This window comes from Homo sapiens, chromosome 9, assembly GCF_000001405.40.
Source record: "Homo sapiens chromosome 9, GRCh38.p14 Primary Assembly".
Taxonomy (NCBI): Eukaryota; Metazoa; Chordata; class Mammalia; order Primates; family Hominidae; genus Homo; species Homo sapiens.
In genome coordinates, this window is record NC_000009.12 from 3583780 (window position 1) to 3602193 (window position 18414).

The window sequence follows — 18414 nt, forward strand, 5'->3', positions numbered from 1 at the left end:
AAATTTACTTTTCCATTTTCTAACTGGATGATTTCAAATCTTCAACATCCCATTCCCCCTTGCTCTAAGTTAATGACTTCTCTCGTGTTTTATACAAAAAATAGTTCCACTCCAATAAGAACTACCTCATTGTCCAACCAGATATTCCATCAGCCCACTTGTATCTGCACACACATGTTGGCCTCCCTTCTAATTATAATAGAAAGGTGGCTACTCCCTTCTATCTTAGCCCAACATCGCCACTTATTAAGAACTTTTTGCTTCTGTCTTTTATTTCTTTATTACATTATTTTTTCTCTCTCTCTCTCTCTGCTGGATCCTTCCTACACAAACTCAAGCATGCTTTGAGATTACCCATCAAAACAAACAACATAAACAAAAAAAACGAACAAAAACCTTCTTTTGACTTCATGTTCCAGCTACTGCTCGTTTATCTGCTTGCCTTCACAGAAAAATGGGACATTTTGTATCCTCATTGTCTCTACTTTTTCACCTCTCATTTTATCCTCAAAATCATTCTAATCGGTCGTTTCTCCTAACCATAAAATGGACCCTATCTCACCAGTGACCTCATTTTGCTAATGCTAATGATCATCTTACTTGAACTCTTAATATTTGGCATCGTGCATTATTGCTTCCTTCTTGACACATATCCTTCACTTGGTTTCGAGGATATCATGTTTTCTGGCTTTTGTCTTATCTCTGGCTGCTTCACCTCAAACTTCTTCACCTCCTCTCTTAGACCTCTAAGTGTTTTGGTGACCCAAGGCCCTGACCCTTGCTCTCTTCTCACCTCTATGATCTTATGTGGGTAATTTCAACTAATCCAGGGACTTAAATAGCATTGTTAGAAGATAGCCCACATTTATATCTCCAGCCTAGCCTTTTTTGAGCACCAAGCTCTTACATGCTTCTTGATATTTCAATACAGGTGTATAATAGAAAACTGAAACTTAAAACAAACATGGTGGCTGGACACAGTGGTTCACGCCTATAATTCCAGCACTTTGGAAGACCAAGGTGGGAGGATCACTTTAGGTCAGGAGTTTGAGACCAACACAGGGAGATCTAATCTCTACAAAAAACTAAAAATTAACCCGGCGTGGTGGCACACACCTGTGATCCCAGCTACTTAGGAGGCTGAGGTGGGAAGATCACTTGAGCCTGGGAAGTTGAGGCTGCCATGATAGTGCCACTGTATTCCAGCCTGTGTGTCAGAGTGAGACCCAGTCTCAAAAACAAAAAGAAAAACAGAAACAAAAAAAAAAGAATATGGCCAAAGTGATGTATTCATACCCTTTCTCAATTTGCTGCTCTTTGGAAGCAACTACAGTGCAAATTTTTAGTGAAGAGCAGTCTTCTGCCTCGCACTAAAGAGAGATCATCTATCTATTTGCACAAAATAAATTACAGGTTTGGGGATCCTTGAAACTTCTTTCCCTCAAAACCTATATCCAATCCACCAGTAAGTGCTGTTGGTTCAAATTTCATTATGTCCTGAATTTGCCCAGTTACTACCATCTCCACAGCTATAACCTTAGTCCACATCACCTACTCACCTCACATTTACTGAACAACTGACCTTCTCAATTCATTTAAAACTGAGACATGGCTGGCAAGTTATTTTAAAACAGTCATACCTTAACCTTCTCCAGGGTCACATATTGTGCATATGTTTTTGTTTTTAATTTGGGTCTTAAAAGATATTTTAGGAAGAAATTTGGAGAAGCAACTTCAAATGTCATTTTAGACTGAAAATGTCTGAGCTCACATTTCAAAAAGACAAACAAATAGCAGAATGAGGAATAGATAGCCAATGGTGAATTTAAAATACCTGCATGGGTCTTTAGGAATCATTTAAGGCATAAACTGTCATGGAGTTAAAGTTTGTGTAATATAATACGGCAAAAAGAGGGGGATTTAAAAAAGTGGTACTCATGAGCAAGAAGAACGAACAGGAAGTGGTAGGCCCTGTGCTTGAGACAGATGGGGATAACAGACGCTAAAAACAAAGCAGGACTACTTCGTTCCTCTTCGGTCTGTCTTCTGCGTCAAAGACAATGGTCTTCAGACTGACTCAAGAGCCTAGATCAAACATGTTTAAAGGGGGAACTGATGTCAAAGATATGGGAAGATAGAGAACATCAAGTGCCCTGGCTGAAATAAACTGCACTCCAGGGCTGGAGTGAACCAGGGAATGAGACTTTTGCACCAGTAAACTGTTACCAGTGAAGAATGGTGGTGAGAGGGAGAGGTGTTGCCAGACTGGAGAGAAACAACTGCAGTGCAAATTTTTAATAAAGGAAAAAGGTAAATTCTGTAAGTATAGATCAGTGAGCCTGACATTAATCCCTGTGCAAAATTATACACTGGATTATTAAAATGGATGGTTTTTCAAACAGTATAAAAAGACAGCATGTAAATTCTTACAAAGGGAAGTGGTATTTATTCACCAGGACCCAGCATGTGCTCCTTAAGATTAAGCTGTACCAGACTAACCTCATTTTCTTTGGGGTGGGTTAACTGCTACTGTTAAGAAGAGCTAATGTTTAAGCATTTATTTGATGTTAGGCTGTAGGTTAAGTGCTTTACATGCATTTTCTCATTTAATCTGAAGTATTATTTCTCCCCATTTTATACATGAGGAACTATTTAGTAACTAGCTGAAGACAACACAACTAAAAATTGGAGACTATGTTTTAAGCATAGGTAGCCACATTTCAGAACCCACGGTCTTAATCTTTATGCTATGATGCCACTAAAGAGTACATAATGGATACAACCAAAGAATGCTATTGAAACTGTACACCTGAATGATGACTATGGCAGTAAGATAGAAAAAGCTAAACTAGATAATGGTACACTTAGGATGGTCCATAAACAATGGAATGACCATTTTCAGAGTACTGATTAATATGTCATTTTCTATTCCTAAAAAAGTCTCTACTGATCTTATATCAGAACCACATTCCTATTGTTTGTTAACATTTTCACAATTCGTCTAAATACATCAATGGCATATTATCAAATTTGTGAGTGACCTAAAATCTGGTTGGCTAAATGATATGGTTTGGATGTGTGTCCCCACCCAAATTTCATGTTCAGTTGTAATCCTCAGTGTTGGAGGTGGGGTCTACTGGGTGGTGATGGGCTCATGGGAGTGAGTCCTTCATGAATGGCTTAGCACCATCCCTTTGGTGCTGTTCTCATGATAGAGTTCTCATGAGATTTGGTTGTTTAAAAGTGTATGGCACCTCCCTGCTCTCTCTTCCTCCTGCTGTGGCCATAAAAGGTGTGCCTGCTTCCCCTTTGCCTTCTGCCATGATTGAAAGTTTCTTCAGGTCTCCCTAGAAGTAGCTATACTTCCTGTACAGCCTGCAAAACTGTGAGCCAATTAAACCTCTTTTCTTTATAAATTACTCAGTTGCAGTGATATGGTTTGCCTCTGTGTCCCCACCCAAATCTCATATCTAATTGTAATCTCCACATGCCAGGGGAGGGAGCTGGTGGAAGGTAATTGGATCATGGGGGTGGATATCTCCCTTTCTGTTCTTATGATAGTGATTCCAATGAGATCTGATGACTTAAAATTGTGTGGCACTTTCCCCTTATCTCGCTTTCTCTCCTGTTCTACCATGGTAAGACATGCTTGCTTCTCCTTCATCTTTTGCTATGATTGTAAGTTCTCTGGGGCCTCCCAGTCATGATTCCTGTTAAGCCTGCAGAACAGAGAGTCAATTAAACCTCTTTTCTTCATAAATTACACATTCTCAGGTAGTTCTTGATAGCAGTGTGAGAATGGACTAACACACTCAAGTACTTTCTTTTTTTTTTTTTTTAGCAATGTGAGAAAGGACTAATACACTAATATTGATGACAGAATAGGATTCCCAAAAGATCTTAGCATGTGTGGAATTAAAACAAGATGCAGCTTATTAGGATAAATGCAAAAAACGATCACTTAGATTTTTAGAAATCTACCCAATATCAGTGTGGCAGTTCCTCAGGGATCTAGAACTAGAAATACCATTTGACCCAGCCATCTCATTACTGGGCATATACCCAAAGGATTATAAATCATGCTGCTATAAAGACATATGCACACGTATGTTTATTGTGGCACTATTCACAATAGCAAAGACTTGGAACCAACCCAAATGTCCAACAATGATAGACTGGATTAAGAAAATGTGGCACATATACACCATGGAATACTATGCAGCCATAAAAAATGATGAGTTCATGTCCTTTGTAGGGACATGGATGAAGCTGGAAACCATCATTCTCAGCAAACTATCGCAAGGACAATAAACCAAACACCGCATGTTCTGACTCATAGGTGGGAATCGAACAATGAGAACACATGGACACAGGAAGGGGAACGTCACACACCGGGGCCTGTTGTGGGATGGGGGGAAGGGATAGCATTAGGAGATATACCTAATGCTAAATGACGAGTTAATGGGTGCAGCACACCAACATGGCACATGTATACAAATGTAACAAATCTGCACGTTGTGCACATGTGCCCTAAAACTTAAAGTATAATAATAATAAAATTAAAAAAAAAAAGAAATCTACCCAATATCACATGGGGAGAAAAATGAGAGCTAATAACAGTACATTAGTTGCTGTTTCTCATGTTGTCAGGGCAAACTCAGGCCAATGGTGAAACTTTCACCAAGCCCAAAATGTTGAAGAAGCTTAATACCAGATCCTTGAACTGACACCTTACTGAAGGGCTCCAAGATCACAGGCGGAGAAAACAATGCTAACGATTAAGTCCAGAGAGTAAAGCAGGGAGAAGTACTAGAAAACAAGCAACCAAGAAGCTTAGAACTTGTGAGAATTTTTAAAGCGGAAGAGGGAGAAAAAGATTCAGTAAAACCAAACTCTTTCATTCTCTTTTTTTCCTCATATATGCACTCTCTTTTCTCTCCCATCTTACATGTGTAGTGGAAGGCCTTCTATTACCAAGGGCTTTCATTATTTTTCTTACACATACTATAGTCAGGCCTTCAAGTGGGTTCTGTAGCACACAATATTTCTTGATTTATTTTGTTATTTTAATTTTTTTAATAAAATATTTTAGCTTTATAATAAAATATCTCACAAGTGTAGTATTTTGAAGAATTTTAGGTTTGAATATGCATGCGTCTCTTGAGGTTAAGCGAAGCCAACTTTCAGTGTCTGATAGCCGCACTGCACTGAAACTGTCTTTTTGGTTCCTATAGGTGTTTTGGGAAGTATGCATTGCAGCTCAAAGGAGCTTTGAATCATGTGAAAAATATTTTTGATAAAAATATGAGTAAACAGTATGATGTGGCTACCAAATAAACTGAGTTTTAATACTACATTAGCAAAATTATACAGAAAGAAGGAACTAATTATCTCTTTGCATTTATACTGGAGCCCACACATGGACTAATGCTAGGTTCTGACACTTTAAAAGGATGAATAGGCACATCTGTATTTCCAGAGGTAACCTGGGTCATGAAGCAATTTGGAATCATGTAATATGAGAAATTCTTGAAGAAATTGGATTTTTTTTTCTGGAGAAGATATTAGTGTTTATCAAACTGTAAAAGCAACTGAAACAATAATAACTTAAAATATCAGGTAGAAAATTGTGAGTTTTACCAATGGGAATGTAGTGTAGTGGCTGAAAGCACAGGTTCTGGATTTCGACTGCCTGAGGTTATAGCCCAGGTTTACTACTTGCTAGCCATTTAACCTTACACAAGTTAATTAACTGCTCTGTGCTGTAGTTTCTCCATCTGTAAAACTGTCAAGGTAGTAGTACATGTCATTAGGATTAAGTAAATTAAGCTATGTAAAACACAGATAACATTGGATGACACCAATGGTTAGGCAGCAGATACATTTATTAGTAAAGTGCAATGGAAATTTTCCTCTTGCTGGATAAGAGTAAACTAATGATTAGACTTGAGGATGGCTTAACTAAGAAAGAAAGTGATCAAGAAGGTAAGAGTAGTAATGATTGGTTTTGAGAATTTAATTTTCTGTGCTTATCATGGAATAAATTTAGCTGAATTAAAATGCATTATAATTACAAGAGTTAGGATACCTTAAAATATCTAGTGAGGCTGTATAACCTAGCAAGATCAAACAAACTCATTGCTATTGGATTTTAAGAAATTGGATTGTCAAGAAGATAAGTAATCAATATGGCTTGGCTGTGTCCCCACCCAAATCTCATCTTGAATTATAGCTCTCATTATTCCCACATATTGTAGGAGTGACCTGGTGGGAGACAACTGAATCATGGGGGCAGTTTTCCCCATACTGTTCTCGTGGTAGTGAGTAACTCTCACGAAATCTGATGGTTTTATAAGGGGAACTCCCTTTTGCTTGGCTTTCATTCTGTCTTGCCTGCTGCCATGTAAGATGTGCCTTTCGCCTTATGCCATTATTCTGAGGCCTCCCCAGCCACGTGGAATTGTGAGTCCCTTAAACCTCTTTTTGTTTATAAATCACCCAGTCTTGGGTACACCTTTATCAGCAGTGTGAAAATGGACTAATACAGTAATCTTGCAAGCCTGCACAAACTTGCGCTTTGTATAAAAAGCCACAATAATAAAACTTGTTGAGAATATCCTACCAAAATTACTATGAAAGTTATCTCTCCCTTTTACTATGAGCAGAGGTGGCCCATTAGAATAATATGGTTGTCTCTGGATTATGTATAATAAGAAAATGTGTGTATACAAATAAAATGCATTTATTATGAAGTAAATTTTGTCATACCTCTTGGCAATTGATTTTTCATGTCCACTGTGTACTTTGTTTGAAATCTTCTTCCCCCAAATGTCACGTTTGGAAATAGGAGCATTTTATTTGACAAAGGTAAGAGTTGGAGATCATTAACTGCTATCTTTAAATAAGTTAAATTTATGGTATAGCAGAGTAACTGGACTTTTAATAAGGTTTTAGAAGTCAAAATAAAGACACTAGTGTGAATGATGGTGGGTTTCAATTGTCTCCTGGGCATTTTGGTCTATTGGGTTAGGAGAGTAGGGGTCCCAGAATGTTCTGTTTCTTTTCCTCCTTTAACAAATTTTATTGAACACTTACTAGTGCTAACCTCTTTTCTAAGCCCTGAAGAAACAGTAGCAACAAGACAGACAACATCTCTGCTCTCAAAGAATTTACATTCTAGTGAGGAGACCCAATAAATAAATAAAGAAGAAAACTCCAGAGAGTAAGTGTTAGTAGAGAATTAAATGGGACATAAAGAGTAAAAAACTAGATGACTACTTTGAATAGAGTGGCCAGGAAGACCTCTCTAAAGCACTGACATCTCAACTGAGATATCTGTCATAATGAGGAGCTGGAACTGTGAGGATCAAGAGAAAAAAAAAAAACTATTCCAAAAAAAGAGAAGAGCTGGTACAAAATTCTTAAGGTGAGAGAGAAGATGAGTTTTGCGGAAAGATCGTAGACAGGGTAGATAATGTTTACAGAAACTTCAGAGGTGCCAAGTCGAGATCATTTATGACATTGTAGGACAAGGTAAGAAATTCAGATTTGGCTTGGTTTGGTGGCTGACACCTGTAATCCCAGCACTCTGGGGGAGGATCACTTGAGCCCAGAAGTTCAAGATCAGCCTAGGCAACATAGTGAGAACTCATCTCTACAAAAAGTAAAAAAATTAGCCGGGCGTGGTGGTACACCTGCAGTCTGAGCTACTTAAGAAGTGGAGTTGGGAGGATCACTTGAGCCTGGCATATCGAGGCTGCAGTGGGCCATGATCATGCCACTGCACTCCAGCCTGAGTGACAGAGAAAGACCCTGACTCAGAGAAAAAAAAATAAATTTAGATTTTATCTATGATCAGAAGCTAGCCATTTAGGTTTTAATCATAAGAGTGACATGATCTGATTTATTTTAAGTAAATAATTCTTGCTATTACATAAAAAATATAGAAAGCAAGAGTGCAAGCAGGGAAACCAATAAGAAGTTTGTAGCAAAAGTCCAGGTGAGAAATAGAGGTGACTTAGAGGGAGGTAGAAATAATGGAGATAAAGAGAAATGATCAAATTTGGTGTAGCTTTTAGAGTTAAAGATGATGGAACTTTGGGGATAGATTGGAAAGACAAAGAGCTAAATTATGAATGTATTCTAAGTTTTTGACCTGAGCAACCTAATAGAAGAGGTACAGTTGGCCGGGCGCGGTGGCTCACGCCTGTAATCCCAGCACTTTGGGAGGCCGAGGCAGGCAGAGCACGAGGTCAGGAGATCGAGACCATCCTGGCTAACATGGTGAAACCCCATCTCTACTAAAAATACAAAAAATTAGCTGGGTGTGTTGGTGGGCGCCTGTAGTCCCAGCTACTCAGGAGGCTGAGGCAGGAGAATGGCGTGAACCCAGGAGGCAGAGCTTGCAGTGAGCCGAGATCGTGCCACTGCACTCCAGCCTGGGTGACAGTGCAAGACCCCGTCTCAAAATAAAAAAAAAAGAAGAGGTACAGTTTTCTGATATTTGTGAACATGGGGAAGAAATAAATTTGGTCAGAAAAATGAAAGATTCTTTTTAGTATATGTGCTGTTGAGGCAAGCACAAAAATGAAACATTCTTTTAAGGACAAATGAAGTTTTAGATACCTATCAGCTTATGAAGTATGAAGTTGAATAATTGAATCTAAGTTTCAGAAGAGAGATGACAAATGGAAGATATTGGTTTGAAAGCCTAGACCATCTGAAGCCATGAAAATGAATGGGAACACTTAAGAGAACAGGGCCAAGTTACTGAGCCCATGAATATGCCACCATTTGGAGATTGGGTAGAGAAAGAGGATAATCCAGAATAGAAGACTCAGAGGGACCAGCCAGTAGTTTGGTCCATTATCCAATTATCTATGGATAATGAGAATTTTATATATTCCTTTAAAGTCTACAATCTACAGATTTTAAAGGAAGATATACAACTCTCATTATCCATAGATAATTGATTAGAAACAAATTCCAAAAATAATCCACAGATAAAATACTCAAGTGAGTTCATTAAGGCTACTCAAATAAGTGAGCTCATTAAGGCAATAATTAGGAGAAAACAAATCACTTCAAGGCAGGAGTGGCCAACTATGTCAAATGTTGCTGAGAAGTGAGGTAAGAAAAGAACAAAACAGAGGCTATTGAATTTGGCAGCTCAATGGTACGGGGAGCACTGGAGCTCAACTGGAATAAATTGAGGAAAGAATGTGAGGTGAGTAAAGAAGCAGCAACTACTAACAGGAGAAAAAGCCTCTGGATATTGTAGGTGTGAGTGCCTTCGGAAGCTGGGCAGGTCTACTCACAATATTGAAGGATCTTAATGAAAGGTTTACTATGGCTTAAAATGAGGGGATTGGTGCACATGTTGGTGAGTTTGACCAGATAACCTTGGAAATATCTGTCACACAGGTATATTCTAGGATACTTTTATTCTGCAGTATTTGATATTGTTCTCTTTTTGCCTAAATTATCAGTGTTGTGTCCCCTACCTGATCCCTCTACAACCTTATGAAAGATAGATAAATTATTTCATTAGTCTTTATTAAATAGAATGAATTTTTATTACTTTCTCAGTAGACTATAGATTGGGAGAAACTGATGTTATTCAACTATCTTACAATGTAGATAAGACAATTAAGACTCCAGGAAGTGAAATGATTAGTCAAGTAGAAAATTCAAAGATAATAGCAAATCTAGGACTAGAACCCATCTCCTAGTTTCATTTTTCATCATCTTATTACTCCTCTATTTTTGGTTTATATCTTTTTTTAGACTATCTGCTTAGAATAAGAACTTTCAAAGTTGTATTGCTAAAAATAGTAAAACAGGCTGGGCGTGGTGGCTCACGCCTGTAATCCCAGCACTTTGGGAGGCCGAGGCAGGTGGATCACAAGGTCAGGAGATCGAGACCATCCTGGCTAACACGGCGAAACCCCGTCTCTACTAAAAAATACAAAAAATTAGCCGGGTGTGGTAGTGGGCGCCTGTAGTCTCAGCTACTCAGGAGGCTGAGGCAGGAGAATGGCGTGAACCTGGGAGGCGCAGCTTGCAGTGAGCCGAGATCGTGCCACTGCACTCCAGCCTGGGCGACAGGGAGACTCTGTCTAAAAAAAAAAAAAAAAAAGTAAAACAACAACAAAAAAAAACAAAAACTAGAAATACTCAGCATTAGAGAATTCGTTAAGTTCCTCTTCCATTCATTCCTCCAGCTACTGGAACACTGGCAGCTGATGGCTGTTAGCAAAGTCCTTCTCTCGGTATTGACATGCCATAGAGTCAGGTGGACTCAGCAGCAATCCGTCGTAAGACAGAAATGCTGAACCCAGTGTCAAGCATAAGCAGGGCTGAAGGGCACAATTAAACTGCATTGACACCTCCCAATCAGTACAAATCTACGGCCACGTGAGGGGCCCGTTATGATTAGTTCACTAGGGGTGAAAAAGTTCAGACTCAGTTCACAGGTGGGTCATCCCAATATGAGGAGCAAGCTAAAAATGAACTGCTGTTGCACTGTGATCTCACTCAAGAATGTCTCTGAAAGAAAGCTGAGAAAGGAAATCTTCACATGTTTTTTGGCAGTGCACTTGCTCTTCCACCTTGTGCAAAAAGAACAGTGGACCAAATTTGCAATCTACACCAATTCATGAGAAGAGGGAAATGATTTAGTTGTTTATTCAGGGACCAGGAAAAACAAAAATTGGAAAATTGGTGTATTAGTCCATTTTCACACTCCTATAAAGAATACCACCTGAGACTGGGTAATTTATAAAGGAAAGAGGCTTAATTGACTCACAGTTCCACATGGCTAGGGAGGCCTCAGGAAACTTAGAATCATGGCAGAAGAAGCAGCCAGCACCTTCTACGCAGGGTGGCAGGAGAGAGAAGGGCCTGTGAAGGAGGAACTTTTAAACACGTTTAAAACCATGAGATTTCATGAGAACTCATTCACTATCATGAGAGCAGCATGAGAAAACCACCCCCATGATCCAATCACCTCCCACCAGGTTCCTCCCTCAACACATGGGGATTATGGGGATTACAATTCCAGATAAGATTTTAAGTGGGGACACAGAGCCAAACCACATCAATTGGTAAGAAGCACATCTGAAGCACAATAATGCAACTACCCTGTATCTAGATTTCTGTTACTCTATCTTCATAGAAGAAAAAAATTCTTAAACTCTGACACATGGATATGTTATATACTACATAACATAATAATAATGTTACACAACAGTAACATAATATGTAAATGTGCATGTATTACCACATTAATATGTTGCATATTACATATGTGGGTAGTCTATGGGAATGAGCCCAAGTATGAAGATCTTTGTATCACATGCCAATACCTGTTAGAGGGCATCCTTCAAAGAAAAGTCATTAACCAAAAAGACAGAGTGACTTTGCCAGTTAGTAACAGCCAGCCTCTATCATCAGCAACCTCACTGCTGGCACAATGGTCAATAAACAGAGTGGTCACAGTGGCAGGGATGGGGACTATACATGGGCCAAAGATCATAGGTCCCACTCACCAAGGCTAATCTAGCTATTTCCACTGCCAAATAGCCCAACTCCCAGCAACAGAGACCAATGTTAAGCATAATCCACAAGGACATCAAGCAACTACTTGGTGCCAAATTGACTACCCTGAATTCCTTCCACCTTGCCGGGGACAGCAATTCACCTTGGCTGGAATTAACACATATAGCAGGTATGGGTTTGCCTTTCCTGTTCACAGCCTCAGCCAGCACCACTATCTAAGGGCTTATAGAGTGTTTGATTCACTTACATTAGATCTTATACGATACTATATCAGACTAAGGACCCATTTGACAACAAAGGACAGATGGAAGTGAACACATGACCACACGATCCACCGGATCTATCACACTCTGCACTACATAGAAATTACTAATCTGATGGAGTGATAGAATAGCATTTTGAAAGTGTAACTGAGGCACCAGCTTGGATATGATACTCTGCAGGAATTGAGTGCTATATTCCAAGATCTAGCATACACTCTAACCAATGACCACTGTATGATGATGCTCTGTCCCCAGTAGGTTGAATGTATGGGACTCGGACCTAAGAGAAGGAAGTAAAATTAGCCCTTTTACCATCCATCCAAGTGATCAACTTGTAGAATTTGTGCTTCCCATCACTACAACTCTGGAAAATGTAGATGTAGATGTTCTGCTCCCTAGAGAGTGAAGTGTTCCATCAAAGGACATAACAAGAGTCCTATTAAATTTTAAAACTACTACTGTCATTTTGGGGTCCTCATGACATGAAGAAGGCAAGGAAAGTAATACACAATGAAAGAAGTCACATCCAGGCAAGGATGTTTGGGTCTGATCATCAAAGGAGGTAGGGCTGCTGCTTCACTATAAGTATAGGGGAGAATATGTTCAGTACTGATGTAATCCACAGGGGTACATATTGGTATGCTACATTGCCCAGTTTTGACAATCACTGGATAAATGCAACAGTTGCGGCCCGAGAAAGTCATGGTGACTAAGGGTTGTGACTGTAGGGATGAGGATCTGGGTTACAACATTGTGTAAACCACTGAGATCAATAGATGTGTTAGCTGAGGGTGAGTGGAATCATACAGCTATTACTAGAAGAGGATGGATACAATGAAACTTAATAAAATATGAGTTAAGTGAATTCAAATGGCACAGGAGATGGACTAGCAAATATTGTTTTATGTCACCCAGATTCCCTCTCAGAACTGAGGAATTCATTACCTCAGTTGCTGGTAGCATTGGTGACTGATGGCTCTCAGCTGAATTCCTATCTGGGAGTTGCCTTTGGCTGAAAATAGCTGCCTTGCCCAAGTTCATGCTTACTCCTTGGGCACAGTCCCTATTCAAAGCCCTCTAGCCTTTTTGTCTCAAGGAGGGACAACTCTGAAGGGTCATCCCAGCCCCAGAGTTTCCCAAGGATTTTCTTTCTTTCTTTCTTATTTCCCTAAAGATAGGGTCTCACTAGTTTGCCCAGGCTGGTCTCAAACTCCTGGCCTCAAGCAATCCTCCCACCTTGGCCTCCAAAAGTGCTGCGATGACAGATGTAAGCCACCATGCCTGGCTGCCCTGAGGTTTTTCACTGCAGTTCCATTCCTCCCTCTACTTAATCCCACTTTCTTCAATTGTCCGTAAATATTGATCTTGAGAACTCTTGCCAATAAAATGACTACACACAGTACAAATCTCTTTCTTAAAATCTGTTTCTCAGAGAATAGTTCAAAAATTATATGGCACATCTATGTGAGATAATAGCTTGTAGTCATGAGAATGATATGGTAGTAGAAAATTTCATGAAATCAGGAAAATCGAGTGAGGAAAATTGTGAAATATTTGCTCCCAATTTTATTAAAAAATGTATACAGACGTGTAAATACACCCTGAGAAAAAGCATGAAGTTGCAAAATATTAAGTGGTTATCTTTGTGTCCCAGTGATAGCAACAGGAGACAGCCAAATGCCTCAGCAGATAGGCACTGATACCTGGTAAAACCCCATCACCAAGTCAAAGACAGTTTAAAGCCTGAAAGCCAAGCTACAAGTTAAATCCTTGGACCAGATTGAGAACTTGCCTTCCTGTTTGGAGCACTTTCCTCTGATTGATCCCCATCCTTCACATATTTTACATATACCTACCCCTTCCCAATTGGTTTTCTACACTGTCATGCCCACCTTTGAGTGGTGTCTTCACTTTAACCTTTTTTGCATACTCAAAAACCAATCAGCACACACTCCCCATCCTGTGCCTACAAAGAACCCAGACTCAGTCAGTAGAGGGGGTGATGTCCTGACTTCAGGGAAGAGACAACCTGATTTCGGGGAAGCTGACCTGACTTTCCCATCCCCTCTCCAGGTCTCCTCTCCACTGAAAACCATTCTCATGACTCAATAAAATTCTCGTTCTTCACTGTCCTTCAATTGTCCATATGACCTCATTCTTCTTGGACACCAGACAAGAGCTCAGGACCCACTGATTGTGGGTACCCAGAAAGGCTGTCACACTGGCCCTTTCCCCTCACCAGCAGAGGGAAGCCACCCCATGTGGTAAGGCAAGGGGTCAACTGATCTGCTAGCATGCTGCTGTCCATGGACGGTGGAACTAAAGGACCATTGTAACACCCCCTCTGGGGCTTCGCGGTCTTGGGCACCCTCACCTGGGCACTACCACGTTCCCCTTGAGGTGAGGCACCTGGTCTGGCCATGGACCCCACATGGAGCTTTCTCCCGTGTTGGCACCTGGAAAGGCCAACAGGATTCTGCACTCACTCACTCACGTGCTTCCTCTCACAAGGGGCTAAGCATGGCAGGTTGAGTAGATGGGATACCCCTTCCACGAGTCCGGTGAAGGGGCCAAGAAAAATCCTGCATCACCAAGCTCATGATGCTTTTTTATATTTTTAAATATTTCTAAAAATCAACATCAGATATGTTATTATTTTTAATCATATCTGTTATTTTGGTAAAAATGTTAACTGTATAATAATATACTTATAAAATTAGAGATAAGTATAACACAGAAGGAAGGAGAGACAAAAAACACAGAGTTCAATATAGTACATCCCAGATGACCTTCAGTTTAAGAATGGAAAAAAGTTTATCTGTTTCCTAATTCATCCACTGGACTAATTAAAGTTATTAGTTAAAGTAGACAAAAAGGAAATGAATATCTAGGAGTCGAATTGCTAGGTCATGTGCTAACTTCGTTTAACCATTTGAGGAACTGCCAGACTGTTTTCCAACATGATGTGCCATTTTATATTTATCAATTATTATAAGCCAAATTATTTTCCACTTTAGTCCCAGAAGGTTTTTCCTATGGCCTACATATTCTTCCAGATACAGATTAGTCATCTCTCTTAGATGGTTCTGTGCAGAGTCCTAACCAAGGGAAAGACTAGGGAGAGTCAAAATAATTTCGTTGGTTCCCAAGACTTTATACAAATGGTAAGAATGAATCAAGCATATTAGTTCTTCTTAGAGCCTGAGGCTTAGCTCTTAGAGCATTTCCATCACTATTCCTGTCCACCCACTTAAGGCATGTATTCATTGGCCCAACCCCCTCAGGAATCACTACATCAAAGGTAGGAACTTTTCTGATTGATATTTCTCTCCGAGACCTTCTCACAGGATGAGAGCCTAATTCTTATCTGCTTAATTGTTTTATATTGTGTAGGGAGCCAAATTTTAATTAAAACCAGAAATTATACAAATTGCCATACGGTAAAAGATTGTTTTGTTTGCTTTTTTTTTTTTTTTTTTTTTTTAGAAAATCATGCATCCTAAATTTTATAAACAGGTGATACACGCCTTTCTTGATTCCTCTCTAAGGCCAGATCATCCCAACATTTAAAAGAAAATTTGCCATATACTGTGGTTGAACATAATATTCAATCCCAAGTTTCTCAGCAGTAATTCTCATCTGCCAAAAGGAAGCATACATTTCTTAAAAACATTTTCTGGTACAAAAATTTTAATGGAGAAATTATATCTTATACAAGTAGCATGTATAGTAAAGAGCCCAATAATCACGACGTCTTTAACAGTTTCACAGAAAATGCAGAAGCGTTCTTCCAGTGAGTTTTCTTGATCAATTCTAAATAAAGCCAAATGAATAACATCAAAATATATTTTTCTGTGAAGCTCTTTTACGAGGAGGTTCAAATGCAGTTCAAGAGGGATGTGGCTACATTTCATGTGATTTTGAACTTCACTAATTTTAAGTGGTGTGGTAGAAAACATTATTAAACTATCTATATATCTTAAAATAATTGATTTCCCCTTTACAAAAATGTTCAAGGATTATATAATATAAAGCTGACTATCTGAATAAATTATAAGCTGTGTTTTTGCTATTTCTATTAGGAGGTGGCAATGTTAATGGCAAATAGATGCATCATCTTTTGTCAGAGCTATTGTAACTGAGTTTTGAACTATACAGTTTAGAAGTAAGTGAGGTTTTCAGGAATGTATCATTCACAATAATGCAACTGCCCTGTATCTAGCTTTCTGTTGCTCTATCTTCATAGGAGAAAAAAATTCTTAAACTCTGACACATGGATATGTTGTATACTACATAATAATAACACAGTAACATAATACATAAATGTGCACATATTATCACATTAATATGTTGCATTTTCATATGTCTTGTCCAATAGTATTTAAATTCCTGGCTGAACATTAGAGTCACCTGGAGAGTTAGTTAAAAGCCATATTTTGTCATAATAGAAAGTGTATTTTATTCAGTAATTTTTTAATATATAAATTTTTACTTGGCTCAAATTTGAAAAGGTACAAAGTTTATGCTGTGGAAAAATCTGTCTCCCACTCCTATCTGCCAACACCTAGTTATTCCCTTCAGAGGCAAAACCAATATTATCAACCACTTGTGTAATCTTCCAGAAATATTTCATGCATATATAAGCAACTATGTATGTTCATCCTTCTTTTTTAACAGCACTTGTAAAGTATAATACCTCTTGCAGTTTTCGCTTAATAAAATGTCTTGAAGATTGGCCTCTATCCATACATATCCAAAGAGAAGTTCCTCATTCTTTTCTGCATATGTATGTATGGATGTTTTTATTATATGGATGCATCCTACATTGTTTAGTTTACCTGAAAAGTTTTTAAAAATACATGTCCCTGGGACCTCTCACAGACCTACAGAATCAAAATCTATGGGTCACAGTCTGGGCATGTGTATTTTTAACAAGCTCCCAGGTGACTGTTATCCAGCCAGTTCTGCATCTTTCAGCAGATTGGTTTTGGGGACTCACCTTTCTAGCTTATCTATTCTGAATATCACTATTTTCAGCTGAGTGGTTCAGAGGCTAGAAAGCACACAGGTTACATTTGCTGGGAGGAACCTGACTTATTGTTAGTACATACTTCTGACTGAGAAGGACATAATCTTTATTGTTTGATTTATAGAACATTTTAAAGAGAAAAATGATAATTCTTCCTGTAGATTGCTGCCAGTGTAGTTAAGCAATGTATTGATTTACCCTGAATCACACTCAGCTGAAATGATTCTCAGCAAGCCTCAACCTCTGCCTTACAGAACTCCCCGCAGCAGTCTCATCTCCCCTGACACTTGGCAGTTCTCAAAGAGGTACCCGAGCACGGGAATAATAATGGCTGAACTTTCTGTAATATGGAAAGGCCACCATGGAGATTCTGATCAGATCCTCATTGGAAGTGCACCCACACAACCTTTGGAGAAAAACTGATTTTGATTCTCCAAGAAGGCTGTGAAAATCTCCTAGGTCATCAGTATATTCATTCAGTCAAGAGAAAAATGACTTATTTTTATCAAATGGAAGAATCAAAAGTCAAATGATGATACAGCTGTATCTTCTCTCACTTTTGCTGTTATCAGTATGTAACATTTTTCCCCCTCCTAGAAGCTTGTGGTATAGGACAGAAATTATCCCTTGCAGTCTTCCTTAAAGGCCCTAACCATTGAATTTAGTAATAATGACTGTGTATTTTTGGTCAGTATTTTGGGTAGATGCGGATTTGGGACTACCCACGTTGCCTAAGAAAATGTAAAAATAGTTAAAACAAAAATATATATGTATGGCCATTTTGATTTGGGGTAAGTTTAAAATGCGATTCTGATTACATAACCCCCTCTTCTTCCTATCTAACCCTAAACTGAAACATTTATTCTTTAACTTGCTTCCTTTCTGATTTTATCAGGCAAATTATCAATGAAAAGGCTAAAGTAAAATGGTTCATAAGCTGAATTTTCCTGAAAACCTTGCAAAAAGATTTAGAGCTCTGCTCTAATTGATGCATTGTTTTTGTTTGAGCGATTTGAAAAAATAAATCAACTGCTTAAAACAACTGCAATAAAAGATGTGGTGTTCCTCGTTGCTTTGGATGCTAATGGCCCCAGATTCTCAGCATCTCAGCCAATGATAGTGTCCTTTCAGATGGATCTTATGGAAGCAGGAAAGGAACTAACATGTACTGATTACAATCTACATAAATTACTTAGACAGTTATATAAGATGTAATCATATGTCTCCATTTTACAGATGAAGGGATTGAGGCAAAATAACTGTAAGGTGAAATTAACTTATCCAAATCTCACATCTGGTGAATGGCATAGCTAGGGCTGGAAACTAGTTCTAATTCTAAATATGGTGCTTCTTCCACTAAGTCATGTTCACCATCTAGACAAATTATATAATTCAGAGGCACATTTACAAGAGAAAATAGTCAACATATTTAAATAAAAACTTTTCAATATTTTATTATGAATCCCCAAACTGGGTAATTGAGGCGATTCAATTTCCTAGGGAAGTATTTCCATGGCTGAATGGATATTTATAAAACCAATTGTGCTATCAGATCATTCAGGT

General features: G+C 38.7%; 1 long non-coding RNA gene across 1 annotated transcript in view; it reads left to right on the forward strand.

Annotated features, from left to right (window-relative positions):
• The window catches only part of LOC124902110 (uncharacterized), a 112958-nt gene that overhangs the window by 57295 nt on the left and 37249 nt on the right, over window positions 1-18414 (forward strand). The gene's annotated exons all lie outside the window — the stretch shown is intronic.